Genomic DNA, 27,883 nt, shown 5'->3' on the forward strand with positions numbered 1-27,883 from the left:
CTAGAACTTCAGCTTTAAAGGACCGGCATTTTTGCCTTCCCACAAAGACAGCAGTATTTTGTCATTGCTGTATCCTCAGCTCCTCTAACACTGGCAGGTATATATTTAGTGCACAATAAAATTTTTTTCTGAATGAATGAGCAGCACATGCTATAGGTATGATGGGATTCAGAGGGAGGGACTTGTGTGAATGGAGCAGTCCTCAAAGATCCCACGGAGGGGGTGAGATGGGAACTAAGCCTTCAAGTAGATACAGTATTGGTAGACTTATTAAATTTAGTGCCTTATTAATTCATTGTCTACTATATGCCAGGTATGGCTAAAAGGGGAGTGCAAAAACCAAATCAATCACCGACCTAAAATGATCATGGGAATTTAACATGTGCTCTAAAACTCAGCCCTGTCTGCCCAGTATTTCCTATAATTCAAAACATGTATAGCAAAATAAAACCAGAGTGAAATAATTAAGAAATAGTCACTAATCTGAAAACATATAGTATAGCGGCAAAAAAAGGAGAGCATCCAATATTCTTTTTCTTGCCTGCTATTTCCTTTCATTTCTCTCTAAACATAGTTCAAAAGTCCTGGCAAGGAGTGCAAATTCAGATGGATAGAAATGCTGCCCCTTTGTCACTGCGGAAGGGGTCCCTTCCCCTTTGTCTTTCAGCCTGGAGGCTGATGGCACATTAGGCATGGTCCTCTGTCTCATGCAGGCCTCACTGCTTCCCTCTCTTCCAACCACTTTCTAGCCCCCACCCCAAAGTCAACAAGCAGCAACACAGGCATGCATGGGCTGTGTATCTGAGTTCCTAGAAGATCAGCTCTGGTTTGTTCTTAAATCATTTCTCTTGCAAATCTGGAAATTACACAAGTGTCTGTAGGCTTTGGGGAGTAAGTGGAGACCAGAAAAATATAGACACTGGAAGGAGCTCTAAAATCCCTCTGCTACCCACTCCCCAAATAGGTCAACCAGATGCAAGATGCCATATCTTTGGTGTCAGGAATCTCTCGCCATTTTTACTGTTCTAGGAAGTTAAGTGTTGAAGCAATTCAGCAGATTATTTTTCCATGTTGCTAGACTTGTGTTTGGGAAAAAAAAGTAAAAGGAAAATACATATTAAAATATAAAGACATACATATTTATATGTGTATATATGTATATATATATATAATGATATACATATACATCTGTTGCTTACATTGTCTCTATTGTTTGGCTTTCCTTGGCAACACAGTGAATTCGGAAGACTGCATGGCGCACTGTTGAGGCCCTGAGCTTCAGAGTCCAACAGATCTTAGTTTAATCCAAGTTTCCTTGTGTACTGCCAGTGGTTAAACCATCTATGTTCCTTCCTACATATCAGGAGGCCAAAACATGCCACATAGTACTGTTATGACAATTAGCTGGGATTATCCAATGTGCTCAGCAGAGTCCCTGAGGCAGTGTGAATATTAATAAAATTTATATTGGAACCACTTTTAATATGTACCAATGATAGACTAGAACTTCAGCTTTAAAGGACAGGCATTTTTGCCCTCCTACAAAATACAGCAGTGGTTTGTCATTGCTGTATCCTCAGCTCCTCGAACAGTGGCAGGTATGTATTTGGTGCACAATATTTATTCTCCTTTGTTTCTCAATCTTAAGCCTGACCTCAAATTAATCACCTTAGTCTGGCTTTCTCTGTTGTTTATCCTTCTATTTATTTATGCCAAACACCTTAAAGCAGGCTTTCTCAGCTCAGCACTATTGACATTTTGGGCAGGACAGTTCCCTGTTGTGAGGGGTGTTCTGTGCCTTCTGGTCTCTTTAGTAGCATCCCTGGCCTCTGCCCACCAGATGCCAGTAGCAGACTGCTCCCTTCCCTGACTGTGACAATCCAAACTGTCTCTAAGATGTTGACATGTGTGCCGTGGGGTGCAAAATCACCTCTGTCTTGGAGTCATTCTTGACTCCTCTCTGTTTTGCACTCTTCCACCTAATCCATCAACACACCCTGTTCACTTACTTTGAGGATGACTCTCTCTTCACAGCTACCACCTTAATCGAAGCCACCAACATTTCTTTTCAGTATTACTGCATGGGTCTCCTTGCTGGTCTCCTAATCCCCTAGCCTCACCTGCACCCTCCATCACCTCCAGCCTCATTGGCCTCCTTGCAGCTCCTGAAACACAGTGGAAGGCTCCCACCTTTGCAGTGCTGTTCCTTCTGTGTGAACCCCTCTCTCTGCCATCACCTTCATGCCTCACTCCCTCACTTTCAGACCTCTGCTCAATGTCGCCTTTGAGGTGGGGCCTTCCTGACCACCCCAAATTCTGGCAACTCTGGATCTTCCTTCCCTTCCACTTTCTGCTTCATTTTCTCCATAGCACTTTCTTCCATTGAATATAGTTTATTCTACTCATTTTGTTTGTCTTATTTCACTAGAATGTCGACTTCATGAAGGTAAGGTTTTTTTGTATATTGAGTTTTTGCTAGTGCTCCCCAACAGCAGAACAGTGTTTGGCACTTAGTGGGCACTAAAAGATTTGTCAAATGAATGAATACATGTATTATCATCATTTTTTAAAATGTCAAAATTGTGGTAAATTATACATGACATAAAGTTCACCATCTTCGACACTTGTTTAAGTATACAGTTCAGTAGAAATAGGTACATTCACACTGTTGTGCAACCAGTCTCCAGAACTCTTCTGATTCTGTGAAACTGAAACTCTATACCCATTAAGCGCAACTCCCATTCTCACCTTCTTGGCCCCTGCTCCTCTGCTTTCTGTCTTTATGAGTTTGACTACTCCAGGTACCTCATGTAAGTGGAATCATAACTGTATTTGTCTTTGTGTGTCTGGCTTATTTCACTTAGCATAATGTCCTCAGGGTTCATCCATGTTGTAGTATGTGCCAGGATTTCCTTCCTTTTTAAGCTGAATGATATTCCATTGTATGCATATACTGCATTTTGTTTATCCATTTGTTTGTCAGTGGATGGAAGTGAAATTGCTGGATCATATGGTAAATCTATTTTTAATCTTTTGAGGAACCGTCATTTCTGTTTTCCATAGCAGCTGCAACATTTTATATTTCCACCAACAGTGCACAAGGGTTCCAATTTTTCTACATCCTTGCAAACACTTGTTCTTTTATTTATTTTTGATAGTAGACATCTTACTGGGTGTGAGGTGGTATCTCATTGTGGGGCTGATTTGCATTTTTTAGGTGATCAATGATGCTAAGCATCTTTCCATGTGTCTCATCACTGTTTTTAACATCTAGGTCCCTCTTCTTCTCAAGGGTTTGTGGCTTGTCCAAGCAGTGTCATCTAAATCTCCATCTTTCATACCTGCTGCCCAATCCACTCTATTCCCTTTTGGGACTTTGTACATCTGTCTCGGTCTTTTCTCAGTGAGCCTTTCCTGGTTAATGAGGGAGAAGGCTAGTTTTTCTCATTTAAGAACACACTAGAAGCCTGTGGTTCAAAGTCCATTTTTGTCCTTCTCTCACAGACATCAATCTTTATCTTCTACGGGCAATTATCTCACATGAGTTACAAGAGTAAACAATTAAACATTCAAATTAGCACATTTGCTGCTATGACTTCCAGAAGCTCTCTGAGCAGATGATTTAGTCAGTTGACTCACTTATATAAATTCCAATACAACACTTGTCAATCAGATGTTTAACCTGAGAATGAAGTTTCTTTCATCTCTCTTTCCTTTTTCTCGCCTCTTTTTGATCTTGCAGCATCTCAACTTTGAGGAGTTATTTGGAGTCACTGGATATACTTTAACCGTATCTTGTACATATTATCCATGGTAATTAGTAAAGTCCTTTTAAAAAATCTGGAACATGTTTATTTGTGTCACTAGAAACCTAGCATGGATAAAGAACTAATAAAGGAATTTCATATTGTCATGTTAATTTTTTTCCCCTTAGTATTGATGATTTCCTCTTACAAACTCCAAAATGCTTCCTTCAAAAAATATTAACTTGTGTACACAAAGTTCTACACTGATCTGCCTGTGAGAGCCCATTCCAGTCAACACTTGCTCTCTCCTCACTATGGCCTTGAGGTTGTGTTGCACCCATGACCTGAGGATGACTATGCTGTGGTATGACAATAGAAATGTGTATGTCCTAAGTTTCAAGGACACCAGGTGACTGGAGTCCAGATAGTAGATATATAGTCATCTTTGCTTTTTTTTTTTTCTATCTTCCTTTTTTTCTAACTTCTGTAATTCCCTTTTGCGTTTCCCTATAAACTCCAGGTTTTAAAAAATTCTACCTGGCAGACAGCTCCTTCCTCATCTCATTTATGATTTCTTCTCCCTCTTTTAGTCTTTAAACATGGGCACTCTTCAGTTCTCATTGCTGTGTCTCCTGCTTTTTCTCTTTCTTGTCAGGCCCATTCATTTCAACTCTGTTTGCACGTCTCTGCATAAGACCCAAATCCATGCCACTGACCATGGCCTTTCCTGAGCTTGAGACAGGCACCCCTGGTCCCAGCCAGCATTCTGTCAAAGTAAACACATCAACCTAAACCCAGTCCTTCCTTCACACCTCCTTTTTGCTTATTGACTTAACCATCTGACATATCTCGGTTTGCAAAACTCAAATATCATTTCCACTTTCATTTTGCTGTCAACAGAAAGTAGGCAGTACTTAAAGAAGGAAAATATTTGAAGATTTAAAACATTTAAAGGAAGGAAAGATTGTTTGGGACTAGGGACCAAGGGAAGGTCCCAAGGAAGAAGTGGCATTGGGCTGGCTCGGCTTTAAAGCATATGGAGAAGATTGAGTAAGGCACAGATGAGGGGTGGAAGAGAGTTTTTCAGACAAAGGCTATGTTTTGCGAAGAGGAGAGTTATTTGCAGTGGCTAGAAAGGATTGCAGAGAGAAAGAGGAGTTTAAGGTAAAAATGATGGAGAATCAAGAGTTTATTGTAAGGAGTTGGACTTGAAGTGAGAATCCCTGAGAACCCAGTAAAGACTTTCTAGGAGGGTGTCTTAGTCCATTCAGGCTGCTTTAAGAGAATGCCATAGACTGGGTGGTTCATAAACAACATGAAGTTATTTCTCACAGTTCTGGAGCCTGCAAAGCCCATGATCAAAGCACTGGCAGATTTGGTGTCTGGTAAAATCCTGCTTCCTAGATGGCCATCTTCTTGCCCATGTGATAGAAGGGGCAAGATAACCCTCTGGGATCTTTTTTCTATAAGTTACTAATCCCATTCACAAGGCCTCTATCCTTATGACATAACAACCTCTCAAAGGGCCCATCTCCAAATATCATCACATTGGGGCTTAGGTTTCAACATACTAATTTTAAGGGGAAAACAAACATTCAGTCTATAGCATAAGGGCAACATCATTTGAACTCGTAATTTCTGTCATGCATCCCATGTCTGATTTCCCCTGGTAAACTTTAAAGTCTTTGGGTAAAAGTGTACACTTAACATTCTAGCTTTTTCTCTAATTCTTCTCTGAACCCCTCAGCATGTTGCTGAGCACACTGGAATTCAGTGTTTGATGACTAGATGAACAAGATAGTAATTTAAGTATAATGGTAGAATGAACACAAACAAACTAATATAAAAATACATGTTCCATTAGTATATGAACTTCTGAAGCTTTTAGGCTTCCCATATAACTATCCAATTCCTTATTTACCCAGCCTCCCTCCTCTCTCTTGCGTGTATCAGATACTTTGGATATAAAAGAGGAAAGTCTCAAGAAATTGCCTGTGGGAACCAGAATGACATGTAAACAAATTCTGAAATACATTACAAAGAGTGCTATAAGAGACAAATGTCTAGCATTACATGGAAACACACTAAAAAGGACAGCTAGATACCTGGATTGACATCTGAGCCAGATAGACCATTCATTCAAAAATTATTTCCTAGGTGCAAGGAGCTGATGGTATCCTGTGTGGGATATACATACTCAGTCAGGACCCCTACTCCTAAGACCTCTTGGTCTAACTGATAGCAAAATACTCTCATTTATTCAGCTGCTACTATATCTCATGGACTCTCACAGAAAGCTTTTATACAGACAAAGAAACTCAGAGTCAGAGAAGATAGGTGGCTTGCTCGAAAGGATTTGGGTTAGTTGCAAAACTCATGCTTTCTTCACTACACAATGCCTCTTAGAAACAGCAAATGGAAGGATATACAAAGTGTTATTAGTACTTAGAAGCAGGGTTAACTAGAGAGGGTCAGGGAAGTCTTTCTGAAAGAGATGGGGTTTTATAGCAGAAGAGCAACAGGATGACTGTCACTTGTTCTTTGGTCTAATAAACACATTTTGATAACAAGAGCTAGTGGTAGAATGTTTTAAAAAGAGTTGGGGGTCTTTGTTACCCAGGCCGGTCTCAAACTCTTGGTCTCAAGCAATCTTTCAGCCTCAGCCTCCAAGTTTCTGGGATTACTGGTACAAGTTACCATGCCCAGCATCTAGTGATAGAATATTTTTCACCAATTCTGCCATGACCTTGAAGAAACACAAAGGTACAATTTTACTATTGTGTTCTATTTGGATACCTGAGGTTGTATGTAGACGTGATTTAGGGGTGACATTTCCAGAAGAGTTTATTTGCCCCAACAAAAGTCTGTTGCCTGAGGCCCCTTCTCTGCTAACAATAACAAAAAGGTTTGGGACTCAAAGTTCACTATACTTTGTTACAGAAAACAAAGCCAGGGCACTAGGGAAGACAGGCTCATCTTTTTTCCTCTCCCAAGCATCACTCAACTGATATACATCAATATATTTGCACTGGGTTTGTGATCAGACATTTGAGCCTTTATGTATAAAAGGCAAGTCACAATATCCCTAGCCTGAATAATTCATGTTGTTTTTCATGGGTCTTTTAAGCCTTTTTGTTAAACTTGAAGATTAGCTTTTTCTTTTTCTTTTTTACTTCCTTAATCAAAGGTTATTTGGAGTCAACTTTGAACAATTCCTCAAGCTGTACTGTTCAACCATTTGATTCAGTATTTTCAGGATTTGGAAGCAGGTTGCTGCTGGTTCTTAGGTCTGCTGTATTATTCAACGCTTTAGTAAATGATGAATAGGCTGAAAGCCATGAAGGCTATTTTATAATTTCTCAAGGGTCTCTTTACCACCTAATTTTCTTTTCATCAAATGTTATTTACTGAGTACCTCCAATCAACTTCTTTGGTATTGTAGCTTGCTGTGATTCTGGCAGATAATAAATGTCAGCATGGGGAGGGTAAAAGAACCAAGCCTTACATTTAATAATATTGTTTGTTAGAAATTGGCTTCACTTTCATCATAGAGAGTCTCACAGGGGGCAAAACCTTTACTCTGCCATCTTGATAAGATCCCTGGGGTCCCTCTGTGGGTCTCCCTAGGATTTTCCACGTGTACAAGAGATGAAAAGGTTTTTAAGATCTAAGAAACAAAGCAATCTATTATTTATCTTGAAAATCATATTATGTCTTGTGTTGTATAGGCACAGTAGGCATAGTAATGTGCAGTCTATCAAAGACACAAGAACAAAGATGTTAAATTGATATCATATAGCACCTAGCAGGAAAGAATCATTTCTACTTGGAAGGTAGGGAGATGAAAGTGGGAAGTTAGAGAGGACAAACATGTGGAAGGCAAATCATAGCCCTCTCTACACCACAGGAATGTTTACACATCAGACCAAGCACTCTCGTGTTGAGCTCAGATGCAGCTCAGGATCCTTCTCAACACAGTCCACTGGGAAGCCATTGTCAATCTCAAGTTGCCATGCCAGAGGAAAATTTTATTCATTTCTGATGTCTTGGGTGATTTGTATCCAATGCAGGGATAATTATGGGCTGATCCAAGAGGCCACTCTAGAGATATTCCCTATTAAACCCTGTATTTAAAAAATCTAATAAGATGGGAGGTGTTCTTGTAATTATTTCATCATCGTAGTATGCCATGTTTTCTGTTGCAGTGGAGTTTTCATGACAGCTCAGTGTTAGTATTTTATCCCGTTAATTGCAAGTTTACTGCATTGTCAGCTAGTTTATTTCATTAATAGCTGTTTTATCTCATTAGTAGTAGGCTCCCATCTGCTTTGAAGCCTTTGACTAAGATCTCTGTGTTGTCTCTCCTGACTTTCAGTAGTGCATCCCTGACCTCTCCTCTCCAGAGTTTCTAAATTTTGAATAAGCTCTAATTTGCCTCAAATCTTTCATACCTGAAATACAAAGAGTGGTTTCTGTTTCTCTGTCTGAACTCCAGGCAAAAAAGAGATGTTATATTTTATAGTCAAAGCAGTGCAAATGTTTTTCTATTTTGAGCTCTAAATATAGTAGCTTTTTCATCCACATGTTCCTTTCTCTGTGTCCCTAAGCAGGAAATTTCATGCTGTTTATATATTATGCTAAACACTAGTTGTTTCACCTGTGTTTAGTTATATCCACAAAGGAAGGTTTTTTATCTCTTTGAGAGTTGAAGACTAGGCAGTATTCCTATTTTCCTTCTGACATTGTGGCTTTAAAAATTTTTGAACAGCCAATTGAGAGAAAACCACAACTTATTTCAAATTAGTGCTATAAAATATTTCTGTCATTCAAGTTAATGATAGCAAAGGTCAACTTTACGGCCTCACTCAAAAAGGAGTGTAATGGAGATATAGACATACACATTACCTTCAGCACTATGGGTTTCTTCTATTTGCCCCCTGAAAATAAGTAAGTATGCCAGCTTGTCTATTGCCAACTTGGCCTTACCACCAGCCTTCTAAGGTCTCTTCCACTTTGCGGAGGAGATGTTAGGGACTACATTCCTGAATCCGCTGTCCTGTATGTGTAATTCTGGCTTAGAGTTGGCCAAGAAGAAGCACGTGTGTAAGATCTGGATGATGAAAGAGAAGGAGAAGCCTTTATTCCCTTGAGGTAGTTGCAGCCAGACATGTGGGCAGAGATTTCACAGCAGGCTCCTGGTGAGCCCATGAGAAACGTGCTTTATGAATGCAGACAGAGAGAGTTGGTGGGAATTTTCCAGAGACTTTGAAGAATGGCAGTAGGCTCTGGGCAAGCTCTCCAGGAACACCTGCCTCAAAGCTTTCAGCAGAGATCTCTTTGTGCCATCCCCAACCTTAACTTTCCCAGAGCTTCATTTGTATAAACCTCTCCTATCTTAACTTTGTCACACCTGAAATAAAGAGCAGTGGTTCTGTCCCTGCCTGAACACTGCCTGATATGATAAGTAAATGAATAAATGAATGAGTGCCCAGAATACCCATTATAGCATTATTCTAGAGTATTCATCATAGTATCAAAGCAATTGACACAGACATTTGCTGCTGACCAAATGTTTGTGACTTTCCCATATATCCTATCCTCCCTTCTAGTTGGTTGAGGTCATGTGACTACTTCAGGCCACTGGGCCTATTAAAAGCAGCAATGAGCAGCTCCAAGGCATTTAAAATGCTTCTTGTGCTACCTCCACACTCTATGACCCTTTGTAGAGGTCCTGTGTTATCATGGCACAGCTACAAGATGGTAGAGCTTCCAGAAGCCTGGGCCTTTGCATGCTATAGCAGAGCTACCTTGCTGATCTATGCTGAACAAGTAACATGAACAAGAAACAAAACTTTGTTGTATGAAAGCTGTGGGAGTTTGGTTCAACTTGTCTCCATAGCTGATACTAGCCCAATCCGACAATTTTGAGAGTATAAGATCTACTTTTTAAGGTGCAATAGACAGGATTCCCTAGTTTGAAACTACAAATGCACTTTCTGAATGAAATGTATTATTAAAAGTACCCTGCCGATATTGTCTCAAATTCACATAAATATGTTACAAAAAGAGTAAGAAGAAAATAAGTAGTGTGTCAATACATATATATATGTAAAGTGCTTCATTTTTAAGAACTACAAAATGACTAATAAATGGACAAAAGGCAAAATTATAATTCACACAGTGAGAATATAAATTCCAGACAAACGAGAAAAAGTATTCTCATTTATTAGTAATAAATATGCTAACCGAATCAAGGTATCACTTTAAAGTTATGAGATTATCAGTTAAATTATTCATGTTAAAAGGATACTACCTCAAGATGGTTGGGTTATAGGAAAACTTCTTTGCCTATATTTTGGGAGAGGCATATAAACATGTGTGTTTAGAAAGAAATTTGACAGAAAAGGTGACGTAGAAATGGTCATAATCTTTGCCCTAATCATTCTACTCTAAAGAATAATTGAAAAGTGGAAGAAAGCCCCATATATATGAACAATTTTATTGCCAACATTGTATGTAACATAAAAAGGGAATGTAATGTCAAAATGTAATGTAAAAAACATACATATTTAGATAACTATGATTTTAACTATGATTAAAAACATACATATTTAGATAACTTTTGCAATGTTACATAGCTATTAAAAAGTTATTATAAAGCAGGTTCTCAACTTGAGTGTGCATCAGAATCACCTGGAGAGCTTATAAAAACACAGCTTACTCAGCCCAAGTCCAAGTTCTTGATTCAGTAGGTCTGGAATGGGAATCTAGAATTTGCATTTCTGACAATTTCCAGGTAATGCTGGTCCAAGGACCACACTTTGAGAACTCCTGGCATCAAGGATTGCAAAATATTAGTTAACATATATAATACAGCATTAAGTAAGAAAAAGAAACATTGAAATCATAAGCTAAGATACACTTACTCAATAGTGCAAAGAGATATTTTAGTGAAATCATGGTTAAAAGCATGGGGTAAGGAAGACAGTCAGACTCATTGGAATTCCAGCTTTAAAGCTATCATGGGCCCAAAGCTCTAGAGTTTCTACAAACTCTTCAGGGATCTCTGAAAAGGCTTGAGACCTGAAAGAGAAAGAAAAGGAGTAGCAAAATATACAGAGAAAACTGTAACATAGGAATTAGTAAGTATTTAATTAAGCATTCCAAAAACATAACACTGGGCATATTAGACAATTGAAAGACAGCTCTTAATTATATGTACATGTTTATAGAGATGTTTGTGCAACTAAATATATTTCCTATAATGTAGCATGGGGCCTCTAAAAGTAAGCAAATTGGTGTGTGTGTGTGTGTGTGTGTGTGTGTGTGTGTGGTGACGGGTCAGTAGTATTTATACACCAATCTCAACCAGGTCTAACACTAATCAATAACAAAGGAAGAATCCAGTGTTACCTTCATCTTACCGCTGTCCATCAATAGGCTTCACTCACCCCATCTCCAACTAACTGATGTTAGTTACTCTATTGTAGGGTCTACTCTCCACACAACAGTCACAGGAGATTAAATATGATATATCACCCATTAAAATTCTCCAATAACTTCCTCCAGAAATTCAAACTCCATAAGTACAATGATCACACAGCCTGGTTTGCCAGAATCAAATCCAGGCAAAGCCACTGTCCTAGATGAGCTGTCAACAACACACCCTTCACTGAGAAGTGTTCCACTTTGGATGATAAGAATAAGAACAGAAGGGAAACTGTCATTCTCAGCAAACTGACACACGAACAGAAAACCAAACACCGCATGTTCTCATTCATAAGTGGGAGCTGAACAATGAGAACACATGGACACAGGGAGGGGAACATCACACACCGGGGCCTGTCAGGCGGTGGGAGGCTAGGGGAGGAACAGCATTAGGAGAAACACCTAATGTAGATGATGGGTTGATGGGTGCAGCAAACCACCACGGCACATGTATACCTATGTAACAAACCTGCGTGTTCTGCATGTGTATCCCAGAATTTAAAGTATAATAATTTTAAAAAAAGAATAGAATTGCCAGATCCAATACCAAATACCAAGTATTGCTGTAGAAATACTTACACTAAATTTTTTTCATTGTTGATCTGAAATTCAATTTTCACAAGGTATCCCATATCGTTATTTGCTAAATCTGGCAACCCTATTGCCCCTACATAAAGAGCCCTAAACGTTACGCCCCTGCCTACCACCTTGCTGCAGTCACCGCTCCTACTCCCTCCTGCTCCAGCCCCAGTGTAATTCACATGCCTTGAACATCCATGCTCATTCCCTCCTCTGGACCGTGGCACTGCTCTTTGATCTCCCTGGATTACTCATTGTAGCTTCACTCAGCTGACTCCTTCTGATCAACTAGGTCTCAGCAGATGTCAATGCAGAAAGACATTGTCTGATTACCCAGCAAAAAAAGCCTCATACTCTTCCCTCTTTTGTCACTATCTAAAACAGGGTGTCCAATCTTTTGGCTTTCTTGGGCCACATTAGAAAAGGAAGAATTTTCTTGGGCTGTATATAAAAAACACTAATGATAGCTGGCAAGCTAAAAAGAATTGCAAATAAAAATTTCATAATGTTTTAAGAAACTTTATGAATTTGTGTTGGGATGCATTCAAAGCTGTTCTGGGCTGCATGCGGGCCGTGAGTTGGACAAGCTGGATCTAAAATAATAGCCTTTAATCTCATGGCTGTCTTTCTCTCCCCATTCAGATAGAGATGCTGACTGCTGGGGTGGTATATACATGCTTAGAGCAGGCTTGAAACATAGTTAATACTCAACACTTAATTGTTGAATGTTAGATGGAAGAATACAAGTGTATCAAAATACAGCATCTTGAGTTCCTTGTCACAGGAGTACACACACACATACTTTTTCCTTCTAAGAGTTCACATTTCTTTAGAAAGACCTTAGACTTGAAGCTGAGCTATTTCCAAATGTGCAGCGGTAGTGCATATGGTAATGGTTTCATAAAGTATGTTAATCAAGGAACCACAAAAATCATTTAATCTAGGAGGTTTCCTCACCACCATCAAATACTGATTATATTTACATAGAAACTGACTCCTTATCATGCAGCTGATAAACATTGCTGAAGGGAGAGCCTGCAGAAGCCTATTTGCCAGACACAATCTCCAATCCCAACTGCTCACAGAAAATAATCATTTTAAAGATTGCCACACAAAAAGGTGACATTCCTGTGTCATTATATTTCCTTTCCCTATAGCAGAAGCCAGGATTAATAAAGTTAATAAAAAAATTAAGTCACCATATGTTTTTTAAAATGTTTAGAAATGTACGATGATCAACGTTACAATAGTAAGATAAGGACTTAAACTGACTATTTGAGGTTCTAAAAATCCATTTAGGGTGTTAAGCTGTTAAAAATGGTTTAAACTTAAGGTAAAGAATCATGACAGGATTCCAGTTTGATTTGTTCAAGAATAACCGTTTAGATGACTTTGTGTGTATCACATACCGCTCTCTAATTGCATATGTAAATAAAATCAAAGATGCACACACTTAAAGTAAAATCTTGCTTTTCACCCTATGAATTTAAACAAAAGGTATAAAATGTATATTTAAACATTCAAGCACCATCTTTTGCAAGTCTGATTTGCATTCTTCCATGTATTTAAAATAAGCCTCCTCTTCATTGATGTTGCAGATATTTCTATGGGTTACAAACAGCTCCCCATCCGAGCTCTTGTATCGACTTACTGTTGAAACTGCCACATACCAGTGCCTGGACTTGGAAAGAGTTTCCCTGGTCTGTTCCACTTTCAGGGTTCAGGCCCTCTGGTTCAAGAGGTGCCATGTAGCATAGTGGGTCAGGCTTGCTCTGCACTAGTCTCAGGGTAGAACTAATTCTACAGCCCTCTATTGTTCTAGAGAGCATTTTGTGTTGAGGAGCCAACCTAATTCATATGATGCAAAATGTAGATGTTATCTGATAAGATTTTAAGACTTAGGCAAAATGAATATAGTGATTAATTTTTCTTCCTTCCGATTTACCTCTCAGTTTCACTCAGATACATGTAAAATTAACAACGTAAGTGATAAATTTAACAAATCATTTGCTCGTTATAAATATTTAGTTTATGATTATATAGAGAAGGTTTCTATGAGCTCTGACTTCAGTTATGTTAAAAACTGCAGTGATAAAAGGCCCAAAATAATGTACTGAAGATGAATTCAAAACCATTCAGAGGCAAGCAGGGAAGAACATTCTACAATTTAATGCATTGCTCTTCTATTTCAATATCCACTCTGGGATAATCACTGGTTACTTCAAAAAGACCTTTAGATTAAATATAGGGTGCAGCAGCTGAGGATCTGGGGTATTGAAAACAGGGTACAGCATACAGCACCTGAGGATTTGGGGTGATCTTCATTTGACTCTGGAAAATGAAATATATTTTTGTTAACTTCACTCTTTCATCAAGGCAAACCACCAGCTGACGTTGTTGACAATGACTACATACACCTTTAGGACAGAGACTGTGTCATATACATTTTTATTCTCAAGCTGCTCAATAATGTAGTTACATTCAATTCAAGGAAAATATCCTGCATGTTCTCACATTTAGCAGAAACAACCTTGTCTTCATTCATCTGGGTTCTATTTAATTTGGCCGGGGATTGGGGCGCAAGGTAGAGAGTATTAGGTGGAGATGGGGAAAGAGTAGGTAGGATCCTTGGCAGATTCAGCTGGGAAAGCAGCTATTTTAGAATTTTATAAACATACAAATCTCATATGTGTATATGAATTTGATATTAAGATATTCTGTTAGAATTTGCTCTATAAAAATGTAATATTGTATATAAAGGTAAGCTATATAAGGGGAACATTTTTCCAAAATGACTAAGTATATTACAGTCTTGTTTTAAAGCCAAATAATGAGAGCCTTTAGTTATTTTTATATATGAAGTGACAATTTAACATTTATTTTTCTAGACTTTAATCATTAATATCATTAAAATAACAAAAGATAGTCAGTAGAAATGTTTTTCTTTCTTTAAAACCTCTCTAGACTTACACAAAGTCCTATTTAATGAAAATTTCCAAAGCTTACAGAAATAAAAATTGTCTTTTCATGCAATATTACACATTATAAATTTTAGTTTTTGTTATGAAACTATCTCAAACTTCTTTTCTTAAACCATTTGAGAATAAATCGCCAACCCGAGACCCATGACCCCAGATTGTATTTCCCATAAACAAGGACTTTCTTCTACATAATTATAATACATACACTAGAACAGGCAAATGAATATTGATATATTACTATGCAATATCTAATTATCAGACACTACTCAAGTTTCCCTAGTTGCTTCAGTAATGTCCTTCATAGTGAAAAGATCCAGTTACGAACCAAACTTACATCTAGTTGTAATGTCTCTTCAGTTTCCTTCAGTCTGGGACAGTTCTCTGCAGTTTTAAAACTTTCATGACCTTGATACTTTTAAGATAAAAAACAGTTACTGTGTTAACTCTTCCTTAATTTGTGTTTGTCTGATGTTTCTTCACATCTAGATTCAGGTGTTGAATCTTTAGCAAGAAAATCACAGAAGGGATGCTGTGTTCCCATTGCATCCAATCAGGTGGCACATGATTTCTCTGTGTCCCATTACCAATGATATTCACTTTGATTACTAGCATGAGGTGCCATCTACCAGATGTCTCTACTATAATTTTGCTTTTTTTCCCTTTTGTAATTTATAAGTATGTGAGAGAGACACTTTGAAACCATGTAACTGTCCAACTCTTCATCAAACCATCAACTTATTCATTAATTTACTTATATCATCATGGTCGCGCATTTCCTGTTTTATTCAGTGACTTAAAATCTGTCACTAACATGATTGACTTTGATGTTTAACTTGTCCCAGATGTGGGCAGAAATGCCTTTGTGCTGCCATGTGCCAATCATTATCTGAGCACTTCCTTGCTTTCTGGCACAAGATGTTCCAGGCTCACCTTCTTCTTTCACTGCCCTAGCCCAGATATCAGTCAATCCTCCAAGAAACCCTGAACCTTCTAGTGGAGACTATATATAGAAGCCAAGATTTGGGTGCTAGATGTGCTCATTGATATTGGTGTGTTGTTGCTCACAAGCCTTCTCAGTGGATACTGTGTGTTCTAGGGAACACATACACAAAACTGCACACATATACACACACACATATATCTATATGTGTACCAATTTAAGTCTGTGTATACATATAATACATAACCACATAATTATACCTATCTACATATATCCAGACAACTATAATTATCTCTACATATATTGATTGCTATATCTATCTATAGAAATAGATATTGATTTCTATCTATATATTGAAATTCATGAATTCATACCAATATATCTGATTTTTAATCCAACATCACAGAATCCATCCTAGTCCTTTCCCTTTCTGTATTTGTATTGTCTTTCTAAGACTAAGGAACCAGGCCCCCATAATAATTATATTTACTCATCACTGTAACCAATTTCCCAACCCATCTCTCCCATGTTGATGTCTTCTCAGCCCGCTTGGGCTCTGATTCCCCTTGTTGAGCAACCCTCTTGTGTGAAAATCCTTTTCACCCAGCTTGGGCTCTGACACCCCATGCCTGGCCACTCCCATGTATGGACATCTTCCTTACCCCACCTAGGCTCTTGCTTCCCATAGAGCCATCTCCTCTTTTATATGGGCTCTGACACCAAGCTGACTCTCTGTAAGGATGCCCTCCCCATTCTGCTTGGGCTGTGAGTCCCCATGCCTTCCCACACTCACTCGGATGCCCTCTTTGCCCTGCTTGGTCTTCAACACCCTACATCAGGCTACTCCTTCATGCAAAGCCTACCTTGCTGTGCCCTACCTAACTGCTTGTTCAAGATTGTTCAGGAAGGAAAGTAAAGGGAAACAAAGATAAACATTTCAGTTGTAATCAAGGAAATATTAAGGAAGTCTTCATTATGCTTTTGTAAAAAACAAAGTAATGCATGCAACTAATGAAAATTCAGGCAGTTCCAAAGAGCTTACTTTCCCCAGCCCACCCCTAGTTCGATTTGTCTGCATATTCAAGCGTATGTAAGTATAGCCCTTTTTTCCCCCTTTGAACACAGATGGGCTTATGTTAACTGGCCTGCCACTTTTTTCTTTTCCCATTAAATGTACTTCGGAGGTCTTCATATGGCAGCACAATGCATCTACTTTAATATTTGCATAGCTTTGTTGTTTGAATTATAAATGGATATCTGTCTTCCGCTGATAGTCATTTAGGCTTCTGTTTCTGACATTTTCTTTTTATAAGCAACGCTGTAATGTATGCCCTTGAAGAAATATCTTTGGGTATGTTTCTCATCACATTTTCAACTTTTAGAAACTTATTTAATCTCAAAATCAAGTAGTTCAAATAAATAAGGATATAAAAGGCAGACTACTTAAAAGGCATTGTATTTTATCTTAACTGCGAATTTGTTTTGTGTCATAAAATGTAGGGTTCAAAGAGCAAAATCAGATGATTCTGTCCATACACTAGAGTCTATCTAAAATCCTTTTTATAGCAGATGAGGTAACTTAAAGAACAAAGTCCAAGCAATTTAATAACAAAACCAGAGCTAGCACCCATGAGTCGAGCGAGGGCCCACACAGAAGTGAATGCCACAGGAGCAAACTTCCAACCTCCAGGAGGCAATCCTCTTCCTAATATCATTTGCAGTTCTACCTGGAACTGCATCACTTACATGCCCAGAAGCAATTGAATTCCATGTGTCTTTTACTCTTTGATACAAGTAGTGCCCTGGAGGTGGAGTCAGGTTAAACATTTTGCCCCTGTTCTATTTGTCTTCCCATGCTAAATTAATCATTCTGTTTTCAACCCTTAATTATCTTCATCATCCCCATATACATCACACTTAATGAAAGACAAGATCAATAAGGAAGAAGAAGATTGATAAAGATAAAACTGAAAACGAGACCTTAAAGATGAAGCCACCCAGAGAAGAGGATAATAAAATAAAAGAAAAAGCAAAAGCGGTTCAAAGGGGGAAAATTGCCTTCTGAGAATTGAGAAAAGGCTACCAGGGTACAGAAGATACAATAGATAAATTGGGGGCTTAAAGAGGCATACAATTTCCCCAAATAAAATATGGAATAAGAAAAACTAAGGCATATCAGGGGAAAAAGAAAAAGCAAAATCACTGGCTTATTCTTCTCCTCTAACTTAAATATTTCTTTGAGGTGTCAAGTTATTTCCCAGTAAATCTCTTAAATCATAGACTGAGTAGTCATATTCAGATTGCAGTAATCATTAAGCGGTTGTTCATCATATGATTGTCTCAACTAAATATAGAAGGAAAAATAACATAGGAATATAAGGCACATCCTCACAAGAAAGAAATCCCTATCACAACAAAACTATTTAACAAATTAACATAAATTAAAATGGTCCTCATCTTATGAAAAAAGATACATGACAATTTTTAAAAAGTATTTAATACACATCTGAAGTGGATCCTTCCTGTGTCACATCATAGAAATAGCAACCTGGAGACATTTTAAAGTTAATTTTTTACAATCCTAAAATATACCAACTCAAGTTTCCGATGATTCTTAAGGTGATAGCAGCCCCAAGGGGTTGCACTATTCTTTGTGGTTTCCGTGTGCCTTGCCTCCATGTTTATAAATAGTTTCTTTGCTAAACCATCCTTGAATTATCCTAATTCCAGTGTACTGTCTGTTTCCTGCTAGTGGGCTTGCTAATACAGAGAGTAAATGTAGAATGATCTTCCAGGGAGATTAGAAAGGCAGTGGTAGGCATAATTAAGAGAAAGTAATGATCTTCCAGGGAGATTAGAAAGGCAGTAGTAGGCATAATTAAGAGAAAGAGACAAGGTGAAGCCATCTCTGTTCTTTAAATCTTTTTGAACATGTTTGCATCATATCATGTCACTCAGAGTGCAAAAACATAAAGCCATATTTAAAAAATATTATTGCAATGACATCTAACTGTAGCTGTACTTGTCAAGGTTGAGAGTAGCTCTCTTGCGCTATTCTGGTCTTGCAAGGTCCAGGAGAATGGGACAATTCCCTGATCTTCAGTCTCTAGGCATTACTGAGGCAGTTGCTCCTTCCCTAGAGCATTATGGACCTTTTGGAAATAGGCATCCTTCTTTCTTACTTCAGCCAAGAGCTCCTTTGCTAAGGCTCCTTAGGCCTCAGAGACCATCCCACAGCTATTCGCAGCTCTGGGGATACACTGTGCCTCAGGTCACCACCACAGGCAGACCTGGCATCGTTTCTTAACTTTCCAGTAGCTAGAATCCATTTCTCATCCTCTCTGGCCCAGACAACCAAAATGAGTTTTCAATAGATTCCAGATGGACTGGAAGGACATGCAGTATTCTCTTCCAGTCCATCTTCCGGAATGCCCCAAGAAATCCAATTGTAACTGTGGATTTGATCATGTCACTCTTCTGCTACTTCCTTGGCTTTCTATTGATTATGAGATAAAACACAAGTATGAAATAGAAGAGTCTTCACAATCTTGTCCCCAGCCTATCTTTCTGACTTTACCTTTGGTCACTCGCTGTCCTTCCTCTCCAGTAATCTCCTTATATTCTAACTTCATGGAGCTATTGTTCATCCCTGAACACTCAAGTAATAGAAGAAACTAATGTTAATGAGCATCTATGCTGTATCCCCTACTGTACTAAGCTTGGCATTGATCTCATTTAATCCATCCAGCCGATAAGGAGGCTGATGCTCAAGCACCTTAAGAGGCTTAAGCAAGGGTTAGAACCACTAAGTGGTGGAGAGGAAGCTGACCTGGGCCCTGTCTTCCTGACATGATCTGATCTCCAAGCCTCAGAGTTATTGGTGGTGAAGAGCTCCCAACCTGAATGTTCTTTTCCACCTTCACCACCTGGTTAGAACCTTCTGCTTCCTTAAAGAAAAACCTGGATTTTCATTTCCTCTGAACTCTTCCATGGCTACAGTATACAGGGTTGGTCCCTTCTTGCCCCTGGACCCCATAGCACTTTCAACACCTTTCTGTCACTGCTTTTATCACATGGTCTCCTCATTACCTGCATTTGTGCCCATCCATCATTACTAATTGCAGTCGGTTTTTTTGAGAACCAGGACCAAAGGGATATTATTCACCTCTGGTCCTTAGTTGTTACACAGAGTCTGGTAAATATATGACGCTCTACCAATATGAGATACAGTAAAAAGGAAGGAAGGAATAAAAATAAATCTTAGAACTATAGATTGTCCCACCACTACCTTTTGATATACCTGAAATGTAAAGATTTATGCTTTGCCTGGCAGGAAAGTTTCTAACCATATACAATTCTATCTAAGAATGCCAAATAATGAGGTATGCCATATGTATATAAAACTGAGAATAAAAGATTTGCTAAAATGTCAATGAAAAATAAACATTTAATGGCAACAGTATCTTAAAAAGTGACCCAAATGTGCATCATGTCTTATGGTTCTCCACGAGATCTGAACTCAATTTTCCAAAATTAACTCAGAACATAGAATTAAAGTTAAAAAGGACTTAGCAGCAATGATGAATTACTTTTATATAAGTAAAAGGATAAGAGAAAATAAATACGGTAGACTTATGAAAACAAAATACTAAAAGAAAGATTAACCATTTAAGATCAAAGGTGACTCGAAAACTCTAAAGCTCTAACAGGAATTCTCAAAGTGGATTCTAGTGTCTTTAGTGTATAATATCTGAATAGTGACTGAAAGTAATAAAATCAGCAAAAAGGAACACAATTATGGTCTGGAATTGTTATTTTCAGTGTTCTAATTTAGGATTAAAAAGGAAAAATGAAAATAAACTATTTTAACAGCTATGTATTAGAAATATGAAGTTTAGGAAGATCTCACTTGAGAGATGTGAAATATAATTTTCTTTCTTCTGAGGAATAGAGTAAAACATATTTACTCTCCTCAATACAACAAGAACAACAGTTTTAATAAAATTCCTCAGTTTTCTCTGTGTACATTTGTATGAAACACTATGACAGTGAAAAGCTATTTAATATCAAATGAAGACATTAAGTGGTAACAGAAGGATATTATATTTGAAATTCAGTACTGTTTTTCCACTGATTAAGCATGAAATAGAAATCAACAATTCTCAGAAAAGACTGAATTGTCTATTTCAGAAGTTTGTGGTCAATGGTCTAAAAGTTAGAACAAGGGAATGCTGTTGATCACAAAATAAGTTCTATTTACAAAAGAACTTCAAAGTAATCATTTGTAAAGTTATTCTGCACTTAATCAGTAAAGAGTACAGGAGGATTATTTTAACTTGCATATATTTAAGTAGTTCATTTCAAGACTTTTTTTTCTTAAAAGTAACCAAGTATAAAAAAGGCATACTTTTACTGAGACACGAAGTCCCCAAGCTAATTACCATAAAATGAATGAGCTTGGAATATATAAAAGAAGATGTGAAAGTGTTTTATCCAAAGACAGTTCAAGAACCTTTGTGTAAAGAACAGTTTCTGACTCTAAGGCATTGGCATATGTGCAAAGATTTTAAAATAAATGTGTTCAAGACAGGGAGTAATCACTGGTTGCTGATTTTGATCGCTAAGACTAAACTGGAGACTTTGTTTTTCGGGATAATGCAAACAAAACTGTCATCATGTAGTTAATGCTCTATTTTGGGAAGACAGTCTATTGCAAATTACTTTATTAGGAGTTTACTTGACATCCATCTAGAACAGACTGTGGTTCAAAATATCTTATTTGCAATTCTTTTAAATAGATGTTGTAACATGTGTTTTCCACTTTCACAATAAAGGATCTAAAAGTAAGATAATTATTTTAAATGCAAGTCACAAGTCACATATTCCTTTCAGTATATTCACTAACATCAGTCTTGAACTTAACACCAAACTTCTCCAACCATCCTCTTTAGTAGCCTGAAAATAAGTGTTTCAAAACATGGAAAGTGAAATAAGTTTCCATTTCATTGTATCTAGTTTCAATTATTTATGTTTCTAGTTCATTATTTCATTGGTTTGTTCACGCAGGTCATATTTCTGGAGTAGTTAGTATCCAAGAAACCTGCTAGGACAGAGAGCAGAGTAGCCAACAGGGCAAATTCAATCTCTGCTCTCACAGGGCTTACAGTCTAACAGGGAAGACAAGTAGGAAACAATACTTGCACGGAAATCTTTTCTTTTCTTTTTTTTTTTCTTTCTTTCTTTCTTTTTTTTTTTTGAGATGGAAGTCTCGCTCTGTTGTCAGGCTGGAGTGCAGTGGCGCGATCTTGGCTCACTGCAACCTCCGCCTCCTGGGTTCAAGTGATTTTTCTGCCTCAGCCTCTCAAGTAGCTGGGATTACAGGCGCACACAACCCTACCTAGCTAATTTTTGTATTTTTAGTAAAGATGGGGTTTCACCATGTTGCCCAGGCTGGTCTCAAACTCCTGGGCTCAAGTGATCTGCCTGCCTCAGCCTCCCAAAGTGCTGGGATTACAGGCGTGAGCCACAGTGCACAGGCAGAAATATATTTCCTATATACACGATGATAAAATAGAAAGCTCTCAAGCTTTAGAAACATGCAAACCTAAAATCAGATCCTGCCTAGATGTGAGGTAGTGATCACATTTTGGTCTCCTCATTTCAGCAAAATAGGGACTGTGATACCTACCATACTTACCATTACCTGGGATGATGTCTGGAGGAGGCCTGACAATTAATAGGTATTCAAATAATTCCTTTTTTCTCCCTTATTTGCATTCCCTATCCCTTATTTTCCATTAATATAAAACAAGATAACAAAAACTTGGCAGTGAAAAGCTCTTTTCCTCTATTAAATTTAAGAAAATGTAATAAAAATTCAGTTGAAAGCTAAAGCTAAAATAATTTTCTTAGTTAATGAAAGGGTTATCTATACTGAGAATAAGTATATATTGAATTTTGTTATCAAGTTCCTAATCTATTCTGGATGTTCATCCAATTTTCTCACAATAGAAAGCATTTTTTTTAAAAGAATAATATTTTCATTATCTTAGGGACAATGAGATTTTATATTCAAAACAACAAAACCCACAGAAAGCTAAGAATAAAGCAAATATATTCTGCACTTTTTCCTCTTAAGTATAAGAAAATCAAGTTTATGAAATTAAAATTATTTAGGTCTATGCAATCAATTTAAATTTGAACAAAGCTAATACAGTTAAGGAAATTACAAGTAGTTTACAACAACTTTTTTTTTTTTTTGCTTACTAGGGTTGTTGGGTAAAACAAAATGTTAATCTTCATTAGAAGGTTCATGTATATTCAAAATTTTCCAGAGTTTTCTTTCAACTATATTTTTAAGACGTTAAGTAGAAGACTTAATCTTGTGGGTAACATTATGGACCATGACAACCCTATTCCTTATATTTCTTCAGGTACTGCTGGTGCTCATTTAAACCCTATAGGCTTAACTCTGAGCACTTTAATTTGTTATATTTCAATTTAATCTGACTTTCCTTGGAAGAAGGTTTAGGATTTTTGCTTGTGATCTAAAATTCTGATAAGAAAGAGGATTCTGCTACCTTTTCTTCTTGAGATGTAAAGAAAGAGAACAGATAGTGTAACTTCAGAATAATAGGATCTTGGAGCAAGAAGGAGACTTAAAAAAAAGTAACTTAGACCAATTCCCTTATTATATTAATGAGAAAAGTTGGGAGACTTAAGGTTCTATTTCAAGTCAATATCAGAGTCAGGACCGGGGCTCAGTCTGTGGTTCAGATGTGGGGGTGGCTCTTAAGGTGTGGGAAAAGTCTAGGGGTAGCTGGGTGAGTTGGGGTCTGCACCTGTGCATACAATCTTGTGTTTCTCTATTTCTTCTGGAAATTGCATGCAAACAAAACACTTGAGAATATCTGCTTTACTGAGGGGTGTGAGGGAGAACTTTATTATTTATTTCAAAATTTTGAATCCATGTTTTAGGGTTCATGCATCTGTTTTCAGCATTCCATGCAAACTTTTAAAATATCTTATTCTATATCCTTTTAACTGTTTTAAAGACAACAAAGCAATAAACCACACAAACAACTAAACGTGTTATATACCAAATGTTAACACATTGGAGACTTCCAATTCATAGTTCTTTGCTGCTAAATTAACTTACTTTTCTGCAGGTCTTTAAATAAAGCAGGAGTCCCAAAGCAAGCGACAACAGGGACCAAGGAGGTAAGACAGCTGAAGACAGTGAGGACTTCTATGAACTGGAGAGCACAGCCCCATCTAATCCAGGGAGCTGATTGTTGCCTGAGGAAATTCAGCACCAGTGTTGCCAGGTCTTAATTAATTCTTTCAAGAAAAGCATAAAACTCTGTATCTTGATAAACTCATGAAAACAGAAATTTAAAAAACTACTTAGGGATTCAGTCAGTGACTGGCTCATTATCACTTGCTCTAATTAACTGCATTTACTAACCACAGGGTGAAAATAGAAAGTCGCATGAAGGTGGAATAGCACAGCTTTAGAAGCCAGAAAGTGCGGGTCAGAATGTTCTCTCTAGACCTTCAGAGTTTCAAGACCATATGCAAGTACTTAACTCAGAAAGACTCAGTCTTCGTCTGTGAAATAGAGAACAACAGTACCACCTTATAGAATTGGGTGCAATTCAAATGAGATAATACATGTACACACTGTGGGATAGTGCCATGCATCTAAAAAACTTTTTATCATCATCATCATCATCATCATTTCTTCATTCATTTTGAAGTTGTTTCTTTATGGCTATACTACAAATAGAGTCAATGTACCATAATCCCATAGAGCAAACAGACAAACACATTTTATGTTCATAAACATTGTCTTTTAATACAAGCATATTGAATGATTTTTTTTTTTTTTTTGAGAAGGAGTCTTGCTCAGTTGCCCAGGCTGGAGTGCAGTGGCCCCATCTCAGCTCACTGCAAACTCCGCCTCCTGGGTTCAGGCCATTCTCCTGCCTCAGCCTCCAGAGTAGCTGGGACTACAGGTGCTCGCCACCACGCCCGGCTAATTTTTTTTGTATTTTTAGTAGAGACGGGGTTTCACCATGCCAGCCAGGATGGTCTGTATCTCCTGACCTCGTGATCCGCCCGCCTCGGCCTCCCAAAGTGCTGGGATTACAGGCGTGAGCCACCGCGCCTGGCCCATATTGAATGATTTTAAAAAACAATTTAATTCTTTAAATGTACATAGAAATTTAAAATTATTGTTTTCACAATTCCTATATGCACATAATATACAAAAACAATATAGCTATAGGAAAAGAAATAGAATGTGGTTTCCCCTGACATAGAAGATTGAATATCATTTCCAGTTTTAGCCATTTATGTAGTAGTTAGCATAACCTGCCTGAATTCTTCTTGAAACTGTGATTGTTGCCGGCCCTAGTAGAATCTGCAAAGGCTATCATTTTAAAATTAACCTTTCTGGACAGGCATCTGCATGTGATTTAAAATTTTTCTTCAACATCAAAATGTAATAATTTGAAAAGCTTTTCTTCTCCCCGATAAACAGCAGATAATCATCTATTTCAACAAAGTTGTTCAATAAAATTTTGTGAATATTAGAAGATCCATAGCCTATCATGGTTTTTTGTTTCAACCGTCATCCACATAGCTACGCCAAATCCACTGAGCTCTACGGGATAATAAGAAAAGGCCCCACCATATCTCACGGAGTTTAGTGTCAATACAAGAAAATGAGTTTAAAAGTTCCAAAGATAACTTCTTTTTAGCGCTTCTGTACATGTAGGTTTGTGCAGAAGACAGTTATAGTAGTTAGTGATTTAATTTTACCAATTTAAAATTACTATCTGAAAAATGGATTCAAAAGGTAGGGATTTACACAGGGTTTTTGCTGTTTTTATTTGGTTTCAACACATTTATAACATTTTTAGGTGAGCTAAAAACTTAGCGCACCTAAAATAAATAAAATTTATTTCCCAAATAAATTTCAGGTGTGCTAAAGATTTAGCACACCTAGGATAAATAAAATTTAGTTCCCAAATAAATATAAATATGTAACACGAATCATCATAATAATTACATAGACATAAACTCTTTCCTTTGCAAGGCTCGGAGGTCAAGGAAACAAGACTTTAGAGACTTAAGTGACACCCACAACATTCAGAAGCTCAAGGGCACTGCAGTAAGATGGAAAGGGCAAGTCAGGGGCTGTTCTGCATCTGTAAACAGGAAGAGCAATAGTCTCCTTATTTCCCCTAAGGAAGTTCTGAAGTACAGCATGTCATCTTTCCCCTAAAAAGGCTCACTAAACTTAGATTTCTAAACTAAACGTCACAGTTCAAAAATTGCTCTGGAGCTTTCAGACTTCATTTTTGTCCAACCTCATGCTTATTGTATAAAAGGACCAATTTCTGAAAAGCCAGACGATAGGGAGCACGGGTGAGAAGAAACCTGCATTATATTGTCAAAGGGCCGACTCTGAGATTGAAATTGATTCCATGAAGTGCACATTCACATAAATATACAAGATCCACCTCGGTTTAGTTTTATTTCCCCACACATCAAAATATCAAAACTCATTTTCCAAAAGATCAAGATGCTCCAAATTTCAAAAAAAGAGAAAAGCAGCCGAGGATGAATAACCTTTTCTATACCACAAAATTACCCCTTGCAAAGGACAACTAGATTCCTTGTCCACACAAGAGAAACGGTTGTTGAGAATGTCAGAAAGAGGAGACCTTTCTTTTCAGCGCTAGGTGGCAGAGGAGAGTCGCCTATGCGTCCAGGCTGTCCTGGACAGCTGTGGTTGACGCTAACGCCTGGCTGCTCTCACTTTCACCTTCTCTCTGGTGTCAAAGAGAAGCCTTGAGGCCGTCCCGACGGCCTCTTCCTTACAGGGGAAACTGCTGTGAGCTGAACACATACCGCTCTTTCAAACCTTTAAGTGCAGCTTAGTTAACTGGTGGAATTAAGCCCACATTGAAGGGGCCTAAATATACAACCCTGTTCTTCAGGTTAGGAGATCACATGTCAAAATATAACCCCAAATTAATATAAGAAACACGCTGGGGGTGCCAAGTGTTGAACTACTTACAGATGCTGAGTCCTGCAGGAAGCTCTGAGATGGCGCCTGTCTTTCTGGCGCGCCCGCAGGAAGAGGTTTCAGCTGAAACAGCCCGCGAGCTTCATTCGAGCTCCACGTGGGGGCGAGACTCCGAGGAGATGTCTGGTCGGATGCTATTGCCATGATCAACTCTCCTTAGTGTTTGCAAACCTCAAAGAAGAGGTTTTGAAGAAGTCTAGCTTCAGTATCCACCCATGCCCATTAAGCCTCATTTTCTGTTACAAAAATGAGGTTAATAACAGCATCTATTTAAAGGGTTGTGAGGAGTGAATGAGATTGCTGACCCATGAAAAGTGCTCTGTATGGTGCTTTCTCAAAAAAATACTCAAATGTTAGCTATCATTATTACCCCTGCCGAATGAGACAGGGAATGGGAAGGTTCTGTAAAATAAAGAGCAGCCTCATGCCCACTCTCCTCGCACCCTCTATGCTTCCTCTCAGCCGGTAGACTCGGTGTTTCTGCAAGCACATCCTGGAATTTCTCCCGTTTCTTCAGTATGTAAAGCATAGCGTCCACAGCTTTATGCTATGCAATCAGATAAAGGTGGGTCTGAAAACTGCCTCTTAGCCATTTACCAGCTATGCAATTTTAGGCAAATTGCCACCTTTCTGAGCCTCTGTTTCTCCATCTGAAAAACTAGGAAAGTAATAAGACTTTTCTCCACAGGTAATTTATGAAAATGAGATGGTGTACTGTCAGGTGCAGAGGAAGAATTCACCAAATGTTAGCTGCAATTAGTAGTATTCGTATCACTATTAACTTTGCCTGGCGTAACCTCCCCATCTAAAGCTGCTTTCTTTAAAGGCTCACTTTAAAAATGTCTATCTGTCTATATGTCCGTTCTCTCATGCAACACATATTCTTGTGTCTCCTTCATACTCTGGGGGATTAAGAAATGAATTTGACATAGTTCCTGAAATCAAGGAGCTGAGTGTCTGGCAGCAGAAATAAGTCAGTCAGGTGTATAAAGTTTTTAATGCAGTGTAGAGTGCTAAGTGGCCTAACAGGCATTTATTTTAAAGATGGTGT

The 27,883-nt window shown here is 38.0% G+C and overlaps 1 long non-coding RNA gene across 1 annotated transcript in view; it reads right to left on the bottom strand.

The window, feature by feature from the left end:
• Window positions 1-26,897, bottom strand: part of LOC105377144 (uncharacterized) — a 192,342-nt gene extending 165,445 nt beyond the window's left edge. The window contains exon 1 of the long non-coding RNA XR_940939.2: window positions 26,824-26,897. This is a non-coding gene — a long non-coding RNA (uncharacterized LOC105377144). The remainder of the gene's footprint in view (window positions 1-26,823) is intronic.
• Between the last annotated feature and the right edge of the window lie 986 nt (window positions 26,898-27,883).

Source organism: Homo sapiens, chromosome 3 (assembly GCF_000001405.40).
Source record: "Homo sapiens chromosome 3, GRCh38.p14 Primary Assembly".
Lineage (NCBI taxonomy): Eukaryota > Metazoa > Chordata > Mammalia > Primates > Hominidae > Homo > Homo sapiens.